General features: G+C 36.5%; 1 protein-coding gene and 1 long non-coding RNA gene across 10 annotated transcripts in view; one reads left to right on the top strand and one right to left on the bottom strand.

The window, feature by feature from the left end:
* Window positions 1–14,671, top strand: part of PTPRG (protein tyrosine phosphatase receptor type G) — a 736,039-nt gene that overhangs the window by 705,617 nt on the left and 15,751 nt on the right. For all 7 annotated transcript variants that reach the window (XM_017006961.2, XM_017006963.2, NM_002841.4 and 4 more), the window contains 10 exons: window positions 223–305; window positions 498–632; window positions 1,848–1,982; window positions 4,196–4,368; window positions 5,759–5,894; window positions 6,511–6,657; window positions 8,686–8,779; window positions 9,785–9,861; window positions 10,364–10,492; window positions 14,376–14,522. In XM_017006961.2, the coding sequence (XP_016862450.1) occupies window positions 223–305; window positions 498–632; window positions 1,848–1,982; window positions 4,196–4,368; window positions 5,759–5,894; window positions 6,511–6,657; window positions 8,686–8,779; window positions 9,785–9,861; window positions 10,364–10,492; window positions 14,376–14,522 (1,256 nt within the window). The remainder of the gene's footprint in view (window positions 1–222; window positions 306–497; window positions 633–1,847; window positions 1,983–4,195; window positions 4,369–5,758; window positions 5,895–6,510; window positions 6,658–8,685; window positions 8,780–9,784; window positions 9,862–10,363; window positions 10,493–14,375; window positions 14,523–14,671) is intronic.
* Window positions 1–14,671, bottom strand: part of PTPRG-AS1 (PTPRG antisense RNA 1) — a 57,129-nt gene that overhangs the window by 5,369 nt on the left and 37,089 nt on the right. The gene's annotated exons all lie outside the window — the stretch shown is intronic.

Genomic DNA, 14,671 nt, shown 5'->3' on the forward strand with positions numbered 1-14,671 from the left:
GTAATAGTTTTACATGAGTTTGCATCCTGAGAGCAGGAGATGTAGGAGTGGCTCTGTATTTTGGGATGGGTTTGAATGCTCTATTTAGTTGTTCTGCCAAAAGTTTTCTCAGACTACCTTGGGAGATGTCATGTTACCTGATTGCCTTGTGTTGTGCTTTAGAATGGTGCTAGTTTCTGAATTATCCATTTTATTTCTGTTTTTTTTTCTTATCTTCTATAGATGATCACAGTAGGGTGAAGTTAAGACCTTTACCAGGAAAAGACTCTAAGCACAGCGACTACATTAATGCAAACTATGTTGATGTAAGTCAGAACTGTTATTATAAACCTGTTTCTAGAAATTGAAGACTGCAGCAGAAACTGTTTAATATATTTTAATACTGTACAGAGCTTTCACTAAAAACAAAGCCCATTCAATATGGAAGGCATTTGAATTATTGACTGGTCTTCTGTGATAACTGCTTTCATCTCACTTTGTGCTGTGTCATTTTGAAGGGTTACAACAAAGCAAAAGCCTACATTGCCACCCAAGGACCTTTGAAGTCTACATTTGAAGATTTCTGGAGGATGATTTGGGAACAAAACACTGGAATCATTGTGATGATTACGAACCTTGTGGAAAAAGGAAGAGTAAGAGCCTTTTGACTCACTATCTTAATAATGCACCTTCATTCAAAAGATACTTGTGGAGTACCTGCTTTAGGGTAGGAACTTGACAAGGTATAAAGAGTTACGGAAATGAAAAGTGTTCTCTCTGCTTTATCTTGCTTATGATTCAGAAGGAAAGAGAGCTAAGGCATTATGAGAGTAAATGTGATGACAGAGATGAACAGGGTATCAGTGGAATGCTGCAAAATGAATCAATGTATCCTCTGTACATTCCTCTGTACAGAGATTTTTTAAAGGAGCAAATACTTGAGACTTGAACAATGATTACGAGGAATTACACAGGCTAAAAAGAGAAGGAAAGGGTGTTCTAAGTACAGGGGACAGACAACAGTAAACAGGGAAATTGAAAGAAGCGTGGTGTAGACAAGGAACTACTAATAGTTAAGATTGGGGGAAGCAAAAATTGCCTAAACAGTTTAACCATCATTAAGAGGACCTTTTAAAAAAATGATTAGTGCTGTAGAATTTATTGGATTATGAGTTTACATTAGATGATGCTAATTTAGGCTGGAATAAAAGCTACACTTCAAGGAATCACCACACTGGGTTGATAGGTGCATCAAACCACTATGGCACATGATTCCCTATGTAACAAACCTGCAAATCTTGCACATGTACCCCAAAACTAAAACTAAAAATTAAAAACAAACAAAAATAAAAATAAATAAAAGAACCTACGCTTCAGGTTCCCTGCTCAAAATCACCACTGCTTCATGTTGTGGAGTCACTGTTTTACTTTTGATGATCCAAGTTACAATAAGAAGAGTCTCACAGTTAGAAGAGAACCTTCCATGAATCCAACCCGGCCTTCCAAATGATACTTAAGCTCCCTTTATAACAAACCTTACCCACATTTCTTACAGGTCAGACATAGAGGTTTCTTTCTTAGTCCCTTTTAAAAATGCATTATAATGCAAAAATAAAAATGCATTATATATTGAAAGGTGACCATAAATACTAGGCCCATTTCTCACATGGTCTCACACAAACTTATCCCAAGCCATCAGCCTTGTCAGAGGTCACACCTGCCTTTAAGCAGTTAAACTCACGTATTCCTTTTTCAGTCAACTAAATGGCAATCTCACCTGTGTTTTAACATTGTCGTTTGAAATTACATTATCAACAGAATTGTGGCATAGATTGCAGTTATACTTTACAACTTTTTTCTTTCTGCAGCGAAAATGTGATCAGTATTGGCCAACAGAGAACAGTGAGGAATATGGAAACATTATTGTCACGCTGAAGAGCACAAAAATACATGCCTGCTACACTGTTCGTCGTTTTTCAATCAGAAATACAAAAGTGAAAAAGGTATGGAAGGAATTGGGTAGGCTGCCAGGGCATCCCCTTTTTATACTTGTATGAAAATTACTGTACAACCAAGGCCAAATCTCATAACCAACTTGGTTTTTAAAAAGTATTTTTAAAACATTTTTTCATAACTCTTTTGATTGACATCAGTGTATGGTGTGAAAGGTATTGGCAAAGCATCTAATAGAATTTAACTGGCCTGATTGAGCCTTTAATCTCTACATGAACAGGCTTCATTTTTTAAAAAATCATCCTCTTAGGTTTTGGTAATACTCAGCAAATATGGCAGCATCTGTTTGATTTAGCTTTTTTATTCCAATTTTCTGACAGATATAAAGCATTGTTTCCCAAAGTATGTTCCAAGGAATACTTGTCCTGTAAGATTCTTGTAAACATCAGATTCTGCTGTTCAAGAATGGGAAATGAATGCTACATAATATATATCCCCCCAGCATTTTAGAAATTTACAGTGAACATAAGTGACCAGAGCACTGGTGTTAACAATAATACCCTTCTCTATAGAACTACTAATACCCTAGGAATCACATTTTTGTGGAAATACTGTTTTCAGGTTATCTCAGTTTCTTTTTCAAAATCCACTGTCACAACAAATATCCTAGATCAATCATCACAGCAGTACACAGTCTCCCCTTAATTGTGGAAGGTATGTTTCAAGACCCCCGGTGGATGCTTGAAACCTCAGGTAGTACTGAAGCCTATTTATAACAATGTCTTTTCCTATACATACATATCTATGATAAAATTTAATTTATCAATTAGGCACAGCAAGAGAGTAACAATACTGAAATAGAACAATAATATTCTATAATAAAAGTTATATGAATATATACTGTTTCTCTTAAAATACTGTAATATTTTTGGACTGTGGTTGACCTCGGGAATGTGAAACTGCAGATAAGGAGGAAATACTGTATTAAGAACTGTAAATAGACGCTCATTAAAAAATGTAGTTATTCCACAGAACTTAGGTATGGCAGTTGTTTGCAGCAATGGGATAATTTTTTTTTTTTCTTGGTGTCTTGGACATTTTGGAAAATGTGATAAAACTGTAGCCTCCTTGCCCCATTTATATTCACACTTACTCACATTTTTATGTAAAATTTCAGTGGCTCCAAAGCCCATCTGTGATCCCAGGTTAACTATCCTTTCTATGTATGTTTATTTCCCAAAATGGCAGAAATAACATGAATATCAGTAGCATAGCAATACATCTGTGTTCTCTACTATGAAATAGAGCTGCTGGCTGGCTCAAGATGATCAATAACCAGCAAAAAACTTACAAAGCCCAACTGATGAGAATATTTCAGGTATTTAAACAGGGCCCACTTACTCTTGTTTTAGAAACAGCTTAAGTCAGAGGAAGAAGTCAAATAGGAACTTTAGGTGTTTTACATACTAATAGGAAAAAGTAGAAAAATGAGAGTTAACAGAAGAATTAAATTAAAGCCATCATGGGCCTTTGTACAATAGCACAGGACCAGACACACTTCAAGCTTCAGTGTTAATGACCCTGAGTCATCCAAAAAAAATTTAGAAATTAGGTATTGATAATAAGAAATCGTATCATAGCAAATAATCTATTTGGGGAATATTTCATCTAAAGTAGTTAAAATGTAAAAAGTTCAGACACTTAAAGGAAAACTACTCTGAAAAAGTCATTTATGAAAGTGACAGGTAAATGAGACATTGCCTCTGACTCTAAAGACAGAAGTATTTGACATTTAAAATCTTCCCATCACTTCCTGGATAGTTTACAGCAGCAACAAGCACTCTGGCTCCTAAAGGTCCAGCCTGGACAGTGGAGAAGGAATGGGAATCACAGCCCACAGAGACATGAAAGCAAAGTACTAAGATCTGGACTTGGGGCAGAAAGTCAGGAAATGGAGGCCTTGCAGGAAAAGTACAAGTGCTTTGGATAGTTCCAAATCCAAAAAAAACTGATACTAAATGTTCATTCTTAGTACAATCTTAAACAGTCTTCTCTTCTAAGTGATAGTGACACTTCATATCCAGCTTGGTAATGTCTCCAATTTAATGGCATGAAAGTTGGCTACAAGGGGGAATAACCTAGCCTGGGAACAGTGATTAGGGTGAATGTGATCAGTGGTCATGTGTCCTGACACCCTTACATTATTTTTTTCCAGAATGTCCACCCCCCCGCTTAAAGACATCTTTTTTCACTTTTCTCACAGGGTCAGAAGGGAAATCCCAAGGGTCGTCAGAATGAAAGGGTAGTGATCCAGTATCACTATACACAGTGGCCTGACATGGGAGTTCCCGAGTATGCCCTTCCAGTACTGACTTTCGTGAGGAGATCCTCAGCAGCTCGGATGCCAGAAACGGGCCCTGTGTTGGTGCACTGCAGGTAGGGTCTAGGATTCAACATGTGAAATAGATGGGGCAGGGGACTTAGGCCTCAGTGACCTTGGACCACAATGATTGCTACTGCTTTCACTTAGAAGCTGAATCTTCCACTGGAAACTGGGATGGATAAGACCTATGATAGTCTTAAAGAGGCTCTATTCCTGTAACATTAAGAAATCATCTGCTGCTTCTGTGATTTTTAAAAAACTAGATCAATCCCTAGTTTTTATAAAATCTTCTTATTAATAATATCAGCCAGGCATGGAGGCCAACTCCTGTAATCCCAGCACTTTGGGAGGCTGAGGTGGGTGGATCACTTGAGCCCAGGAGTTTGAGACCAGCCTGGGCAACAAAGTGACACCCCATTTCTACAAAAATTAAAAATAAAAAAATTAGCCAGCATGGTGGCACATGCCTGTGGTCCCAGCTACATGGGAGGCTGAGACAGAAGGATCCCTTGAACCCAGTAGGTCAAGGCTGCAGTGGGCTGTGTTCACATAACTGCACTCCAGCCTGGGTGATGATAGAGCAAGATCATGACTCAAAAAAAAAAAGAAAAAATTACAAAATCCCCATTGTTTATAGGAAAATTGTAGCCTGATCCTAATAAATAAAAATATGACGTTAAACACAAGAACTTTCCACACTAGAATAGAGATTGTGTTTTTGTAAATGGCTTTTCTGAAAGGTTCTTCTAAATAACAATATTTATAGTATATATGAAAATATTTCATTTTTAAATTTTTAGTTTAAATGTTCCATATAAAATACCTTTTCAAAAGCACTGGGAAATCCTTGTATAAAGCTTGTTTTTTGTCAGCCACAGTAAATGACTTTAGTTGGTTGTTTAAAAATGCTTTTATTCTGTTTCATTTGAAAATGCATTCTTGCCTCTTTTTTGTTTGTTTTAAACTTTGGTACTCAAATACATGTCGCTTGTTCTGTGATTTATGTTGCAATGCTAAGTGAATAACGTACGTCATCTAAGGTTATCTAAGTGGGGTTTAGGCTGGGAGTGGTGGCTCACACATGTAATTCCAGCAGTTTGGGAGGCCAAAGTGGGCAGATCACCTGAGGTCAGGAGTTCGATACCAGTCTGGCCAACACGGTGAAACCTCTACTAAAGATAAAAAATTAGTCGGGTGTAGTGGTACACATCTGTAATCCCAGCTACTCGGTAGGCTGAGGCTCGAGAATTGCTTGAACTGGGAGGCGGAGGTTGCAGTGAACCGAGATTGCGCCACTGCACTCCAGCCTGGGCAACAGAGTGAAACTCCATCTCATCTCAGAAAAATAATAAAATAAATGGGGTTTAGATTGGAATTTTTCGAATCCAAAGTTAACAGTATGATAAAACAAAAGTGCCAGTTGAGTGTCTTCATTTCTTACAGTGCTGGTGTGGGCAGAACAGGCACCTATATTGTAATAGACAGCATGCTGCAACAGATAAAAGACAAAAGCACAGTTAACGTCCTGGGATTCCTGAAGCATATCAGGACACAGCGTAACTACCTCGTCCAGACTGAGGTAAGGAGTAGCTGCCAGCGTCCTCACGACATTCTGGCAAATGCTGTAACTGAAATTTGTTAAATGATAATGAAGAGACAGATTCATTCTTTTAGGGCTTGCAGTAATTTACAGGTTTGTATTAGAAGATATTCTGACAATGATCCTATTCTACGGATCACAGTTTTCCATTTCTGTATGGATCTTAACATTTGGATTCCTAAATAACTACACAAGTACTTACGAAAGAGATACAGTTGTTTCAAGAGCTGTGTTAGATGGTAGGGGGAGTTAAACATGTTGTCTGGCCTGAGAAATACATAGGAGAGGATGGTTCTAAAACCCTTCATTGAACACGATTTTTTGTTTGCTTATTGAGTTGAAGCAATAAGCACAGTATAGAATACCGTGATCCAGGCACAGTATAGAATACAGAGCTAAACTTAACACAGTCTCTACCGTAAAATAAGTTAAGACTGATAAAGTGAGTATTGGAGCAAATCACCTAGCTGTAAGTGCTTGAAGGAAATCACTGGGAGGTCCCTGTTAGCAGCAGAATTAAACTAAGGTACACTTCATGAATGAGTGGCTAACCCTTAACACTCCCTCAGTGACTACCATGTATTGTACCTCTTAGGAGCAGTACATTTTCATCCATGATGCCTTGTTGGAAGCCATTCTTGGAAAGGAGACTGAAGTATCTTCAAATCAGCTGCACAGCTATGTTAACAGCATCCTTATACCAGGAGTAGGAGGAAAGACACGACTGGAAAAGCAATTCAAGGTAGTGCTTTGAAAAAGTTTCTTTGGCATAAAGCAAGAAAATGTTTTAAATGCCTTGAGTTTGGGGGTTATGTCTTCTTTGCATTAATGTATACACCGAAATGGATTACTATTTGTACTCCTTGTACTCCTTAAATGTGATGAAAAAGAAAATACGGTTTTGACCTATGTATGAATTGTTGGTATTCAAGTAGATATACAGTGTTGTATTTTCTTCTGAGCAATTTATGACTTTATCTGAATATAAACATCAGCCCCTGGCCATAATGACATAGTACTTTAAAGTAACTCGTTTAGTCCAAAAAATGTCCTATTTTTTCTGAACTAATCTATCTTACCTTAATTATTAAGAATGATGACTTGTAGACATATTGTCCTAAAAATATGCCTATTTCAAAAACTATTTCAGAAGATAATTTAGGAATTTAAAAAGAATTACTAAACAATACTAGAGAAAAGTTAACTTTTCCTAAATGGTTGTTCTTTTTCTTTGATAGGGACATGAAGAAGCTTAAAAGCGGTTAAGGTTTATATGGAATTGACTGAAGTGAAGGTGAAAAAGAGAGATTATAAGGACTATTAAAATAATTAGGGCTCAGTCATCTGATAATAAATCAAAATTGCTTCTAACTTTCAAACATCGCCTGTCTCTCCAGTTACCAAGTGCTTTCCTATTTATCTTTGTCTTTTAAATTCTATTTTGCACATTGTTCTGTATGTAAATAGTTTCTCCCTTTGTATCAAGATTCAAAGAATGAGATGAATCTACAGTTTTAGTTTTCATGGTAAAACTTTCCATAGACTGAAACTTTCATTTGAATCTCAGCTGAAGAAATGAGACTGCCAAGCAAATTATACCAAGTGATATGAAATGAAAAATAGTTTAATTTCACTGAGTTCAGTCATAAAATTAAAAATTTTTAGCTCCCCATTAACATTCTACTATAAAACCATGAGATAATTAATAATGAGGACACAGTGTATCATTTTAAATGTTTAACATGAGTTCTTACAAAATATTAAGTACCAACATTTCTTAAATTCTGCCTTTTTCGTTTCTTCAATTTTTTTTTATACATACTTTAAAACTTCATTTAAGAAATGCGACCAGGTAGTTGGTTCTTTTACAGGCACTAACCATTTTAGAGCTCAAGATGAAGAAAAAAACAAGAATCAAACTTGAAAATGAAAATTATATCCAGGGACCATGAGTTTTACTAAAGCATCTGGAGAAGAACACTGATCTCATATACTCCATTAGGATGGATGCCAGCCCCCAAAAAATAGGATTGACAAAATGGTTCAACCAAGCTACATAAACAGGAATAATAATCAAACTACTGGGCTGGTTACTTATAAAAGCCTTAGAACAATGTTAGTTCAGTTCAACAGAAATGTACTGAGAACTAGTTAAGTACTCCTTTATCTTCAAGAAACTTGATTAGCTCGTAATCAATAGCATTAAGCAATCTTTTTTAATGTAGACTCACGTAGGTCTTTTATGCCAGTGAGGATCACAGAAAAAAATTCACAGCAGCAGTGACATCACATAACAGAAGAATCCACATAGTTCTAGAAATATCTATTGCACACAGTACCTATTTCTACCTGATAGTAGAAATAAGAAAGATACAATCAAGGTCACTGAGAGAAGTACCACTAGGAAAGCACAAGAGTGTTCTCTGGGGCTGGGCATGGTAGATTACACCTGTAATCCCAGAGCAGCCTGGGAAACACAGGAAGACCCCAATTCTATAAACAATTTTAAAAATTAGCTGGTTGTGCTGATGCACCTGTGGTCCTAACTACTCAGGAGGCTGAGGTGGGAGGATCACAGTTAACTGAGCTACAATCATGCCACTGCACTCCAGCCTGGGCAAGAGAGCAAGACCCTGTGTCTTAAAAGGTTCTTTGTGGCACAGAAATGGTCTTGTTTATCAGTAATCTGATTGGGATTTTTGCCAAAGCATCAAGCAAATGCTATCAATTATATCTTTGAATGAAGACTAAAATGTTTTTTCTTTTTCAGCTGGTCACACAGTGTAATGCAAAATATGTGGAATGTTTCAGTGCTCAGAAAGAGTGTAACAAAGAAAAGAACAGAAACTCTTCAGTTGTGCCATGTAAGACTTTAAAACAGTTTGTTAGTGATCTTTTATACTGGATTGTATGTTAGGTACAGAGGCAGCCACTACTCTGATGCTATTGATAGCACCCTTCAATTGTACTGTACGTGGCCGTATGGTAGAAGGTTTTGAAAATGTCCTTTTAGTAACCTCATTAATGTATGACTTTATACCAGCCTCTTACCTGGTACTACCAAAAGGGAAAATGTTATGCTTATTCAACTAAGGTAGTTTAATGAAACTGGGAGAGGTGGTTGTCAGTGTCAGCAAGTGCTCCATCTATCTGACGTAGAATACAGCTTCATTTCACCTTGGAATGCAAGAATTGGGTTACTTCTACCATATTATAACATAAAAAATAATAATAAAGCTGTTATTGCTGTGGCATTAACATTCCTCTAAAACTTAGAATCCTGGATTAATCTGTACAACTAGAACTACCTTATTCAGTTACTGTGGCTATTGAGATCAAGGCACTGTTGATTGGTGGTGACCTTTGTATAAATAGCTAAGGACATTGCAGAGGATGCTGTCTGTGTGCTGTAGGCATAGACATGGGTGATCATTTGGGAGATTTATCTCTAATGAAAAAGGCCACTCTTTTCTAAGACCATCATGAGCAGAAAGACATGGAGAAAGGGGTTGGTAAAAGGACAAAGTATATGTTGGTATAATTGTAGGAATAACAAACTAGAGTCAAAAGTTATCTAAAATCCTCTGTTGTGTCCATATAAAGTATTCTGTTATTGATCTGCTGTAAAAATCTCTCCCACAGTAAAACTGTATTCCTACAATGCCTGTGTCCTTCTGGGTATGTGCAGCAAAATTTCATTTTACATTCTGCCTCAGCTGATAACACTTTAGCTTGTTTAAAAATATAGATAAGTCTTAGAAAGGGAAGCCAGGAGGATATGTTATTCATCAAGCAAATCTCAGAAAGAGCTGTTGGTTCTGTGTGTATAATAAGGCAAATGTGGTGTTTTTGTTTTTTCCATATGATAGCTGAGCGTGCTCGAGTGGGTCTTGCACCATTGCCTGGAATGAAAGGAACAGATTACATTAATGCTTCTTATATCATGGTGAGAGTCAACAGTTAATTATAAATAAAGTCAACTAAACTGAAAGGTGTTAAAGAGCAGATACCACCTGTGTGACTGATGTCATTTTTGAAATAATTTCTCAATGTGTAATATGAAAAGTATAGAGATTTCTGTATCTTGAAACTTTTAACAAAAGATACCTAATCAGTGCTGGTACAAAAATGCTTAAATTAAGCAGAATGCTTCTTAAGGAATTAATTTTATTGTTAATTTCACACATCTAGTCTTTGAATAAATGTTGAAATTTCCCTTAAGTGAAAACAGCAGGGTTAACTAGAAGTGAACTGCACATGGAGAGAAAATTGTCTGCACAGTGCTAGCAGAAGTACATCTAAAAATTAGCCAAATGTACCGAATGCCTTTCTCAATTATTTTAGTGTAGTCAAAACAGTGCTATCTTATTTCATGAATATATTTTACTACCACAAAGTTAGAATAAAACACTCATATTCACTGATTTTTTTTGTCTTCCCAACTGAAGGGCTATTATAGGAGCAATGAATTTATTATAACTCAGCATCCTCTGCCACATACTACGAAAGATTTCTGGCGAATGATTTGGGATCATAACGCACAGATCATTGTCATGCTGCCAGACAACCAGAGCTTGGTAAGTAAAGCACATCTGCTATATATTAATGAGCCCATGAGGCTACAAGCATAAATTACTTTGATACTTTGCCATAGGGCTATAGTATCCATATATGCTAGGGAGGGAATTTAAAATTTTTAAATTCTCATCTTGAAGTCTGTGGAGATTCCTTTCATAGTCTCACAATACTGTCCCTATCAGTTCCATTACTTGAGTCTCTGATGCTATTGATATCACCCTTCAATTGTACTGTCTGTGGCGGTGTGGTAGAAGGTTTTGAAAATGTTTTTAGTAACCTCATTAATATATGACTACACCAACCTCTTCCCTGCTGTATGTCACTTTTGAAAAGTAAATAATTGTAGCTTACAGGTACTGAGTATGTAACTGTGTTTACATGCATTAACTTGTTTAATTCTCAACAATTTTAAGACATACATACTATTATTATCTCATGTAATAGCTGAGAAAACTGAGAACAAACTTGCTCAAGAGAGCACACACAAGTAACTGGAGCCAGGATTTTAACCTGAGTCATCTGTCTCCAGAGACCATGCTTATATAATCATTTTACTGTATGTCTTACCCCAAAATATTGTATCAAAAGTACTAATAGTGAATTTTTTTTTCCCACTCCATAGGCAAGTCAGGTCTACTGCAGGGATAGGCTATTTTGTTCCCACTTAAAGGTCTTTAGGACTGAGCTGCTACTACTTTTCCCTCCCTTAGTCCTTCTCTATTTCAGTCTCTAAACTATACAGAAGGGTGAGCAAGTTTATAAAACAGACTTAAATGTTTCTGCTTAGATCTTGTGGATACTTAAGTTTCGGAATTAGCTGGGTCTATAAAAGTTACTGTGTGGACATGTGAACCCATGAGGTAAAAACAAAAAACAGTGAGGATCTGCCTTTATGATAGTCAGATTAATGAGTTTTTTAATCAAGGAAGAACAGCATGTGACTGAACCCCCAGTCTTGGTGACATGCATTTGACTGTGTGCCCAGTCAGTAGGAACTTCTTCACTTTGTCGCATTTTGCTCCAGCTTCAGGATACCAAGACTGCTTCTGTATGATGGAATGGCAACAAAGTTGAGAATCTTAAACTAAAAGCTGGAGTGTAAATTTTCAAATTAGCTGGCAATAGGGTCTATTCTGTTTGGCATGTGGAAATTGGAGGCACTTAGGGTTGTTAAAACGTTCATTTGTTGGATGAATCAGTATTTTGTTATTGTCACTTAACAGAGGGCAATCACCATAAAGCATCTACCCAGCAGCTCATTTGTATGGGGAGGCTGGAGGGAGACTGGACCAAATAAGTGGATACATGTTCTGCAGACACTGAGGATATAGGAACATGGCATCTCAGTGTCTCTCTGAGGCCTCAGAAGGCTAGATTAGAATCATATACAACTGACCTCTCAGTTCTGAGATGGAGAGTTTCATCATTGCACAGTTTTTCCTAAAGATTGATATCTCTGAGTTCTTTTTGTTTGTTGTATTATTACTGCTATACCTTTACCAGGTCATAATTCTGTAAGGAGCCCAAAAGTCACTGCTTCCTAACTCACAAAGTACGGATATAGATGCCCAGATATCTTTGACCTATAAATATACTTGTAAGCAAAACAGTCATGAGACCAGTGTGCCTGCTGAATTAAGAAGCAGCATTTATTTTTCTTAGACTTTCAAGATGAACCATTTTTCTACCTTTCTTCTACCATAACTCAAATCCCTTTGGTAGCCTTTAAGCTAGTTAATTTACTATTCATGTTATCATCATAGTATTTCTTTAAAGTAAGTAGTTTTTATTCCCACTTTTCAGATCTGGAAATTAAGGTTCAGATTAATTTACCCAGGATCACATCCACTCATAAATCCTATGCTTAATCTGTGCATATTTGTTACATTTAGATGCCCTGTTCATTACCTTATGTCTTTAATATCTGTGTCCTTGGACAAAACCTATTAAAACCCACGACAGTTACAGACTTCTTTTGTATAGACTAAACCCAGTTGCTAATCTGTTTCCCCTTATGCTGAGCTTTAAAAATAAAAATGTACTTGGCAATAAGCTATATTGAAACTTGAAAGGGTGATAAGTCTCATTGGACGTTGGCTCATTTCTAATGCAACAATGTAAGATTAAACAAAGCCTTCTTTGTTTTGAACATTATTCAGAATTATTTCTGACTTCAATGATAGTAGCTAGGCATCCTCAGGAAAATGCCCGTAGAAACCTATATACTACAGGAAAACTACAGTTTGCCATTGGAGCTGATTGATTAGGATACGTGGTGTACATCATAATCATATTTCTCACAGTCTCCAACCTATGCAACAATTAACTTTCTCTTAGGCATCCATAGTTTTTAGGGATAGAATTCAAGGACCAAGCCTGCATATCTATTTTTAATCTTAAAATGGATGAACATTTAAAGCTTGCCTGATTCAAGGCTGAAAGACTTTCTATGTTATCCCCTCTTGAAATATAACATTGACAGATTTCTTTTAAAACTGCCTTGTACATACAGCCAACCTACTTACTCACACACAATCTTCCAAAAAAGTTCTATCCCTTACCATTTATTAGCAGAGTGATTTTAGATAATTTATGGGCCCCCTCCCCAAGGCCTTGTGTCCTCATCTGTAAAGACAGGTGATACAAAATCTCCTCAGGGTTAATATACAAAATTTGTACAGAACTCATACAACTCAGTAGTAGAATCATGAAATACCTGATTTAAATATGGGCAAAAGACCTGAATAGACATTTCTCCAAGGAAGACATAAAGATGGCCAAGAGGTATATGAAAAGATGCTCAATCTCATTAATTTTCAGGGAAATGTAAGTCAAGATACCCCACACCCATTAGGATAGCTATTAAAAACAATCAAAAGATACCAAATGTTGGTGAGGATAACAAAGAAAACTCTCACACACTGTTGGTGGGAATGTAGATTGCTAGAGCCATGATGGAAAACTGTCTGGAGGTTTCTAAATAAATTAAAAATAGAACTACCATAAGACCCAGCAGTCCTTCTTGTGGGCATATACCCAAAGGAAGTGAAATCAACACCTCGTAAAGATATTTGCACTCCCGTTCATTGCAGCATTATTAGCAATCGCCAAGATACGGAAACAACCTAAGTTTCCATCAACAGATAAATGGATAAAGAAATTTGTGGGGTAGGGAGGAAATGGGAAGATGTAAAATAAATCAAGAGGATACAAAACAACAGATGAGGAAGAACAAGTTTAGAGATCTCATATCCAACATGAGGACTACAGGTAATAAAATTGCACTGTATTTGGGAATCATGCCAATATTGAGTACATTTTAGCTGTTCCTGCCACAAAAATGAAAGTGAGATGATGGGTATGTTAATTTGCTCCTAATTATAGTAACCTTTTTACTATCTGTATGTATCCAACATCATACTGAAAATATACAAGAAAACTTACAGTGTTTATGAAAGTCCTTTGCAAAATGCAGTTCAACTACAGAATTATTAACATAATCCACAGGAAATAATTAGCATGTCTTGATTGCTTAAGCAATTGTGAAATAACAAAATTAACTGACCTAGATCCTGCTTTCTTTTTTACTATGTCAATATTACAGAATACTTCTCAACTGTAATAAGTCCCCTATAGTGGGAGTGTTTCAGGTTGCTACACTAACAGGTGAGAGATGCTAGAAAATGATTATCAAAATATATTTTACAATAGAATACAATAACCATTCAACTTGGTGTAGTTCGATGGGAACATATAACTCTTATGAATTCAGTTTAAACGATGGCTTGAGAGGGATGGGAAATGACAAAATCCGTATGCAAGAAATAGAAAACAAATCCTTGACAGAACTGCAGAGGCTTTTTTTTTTTTTGGATTCCAAAGGCAGAAGATGAGTTTGTGTACTGGCCAAGTCGAGAAGAATCCATGAACTGTGAGGCCTTTACCGTCACCCTTATCAGCAAAGACAGACTGTGCCTCTCTAATGAAGAACAAATTATCATCCATGACTTTATCCTTGAAGCTACACAGGTAACCTAAACCTCAGTTCCTCACTAATAGCCATACCTGGGCCCTGGATCATCATTCTAAGTAATAATGAAATAATTTACCACCCTCAAGCCAGGCTCAGGCATTTGAGTAAGACTTAATTTTAAATATGTACATTTTCCGTTTTTCTT

The sequence above is a fragment of the Homo sapiens genome, chromosome 3 (assembly GCF_000001405.40).
Source record: "Homo sapiens chromosome 3, GRCh38.p14 Primary Assembly".
NCBI lineage: Eukaryota > Metazoa > Chordata > Mammalia > Primates > Hominidae > Homo > Homo sapiens.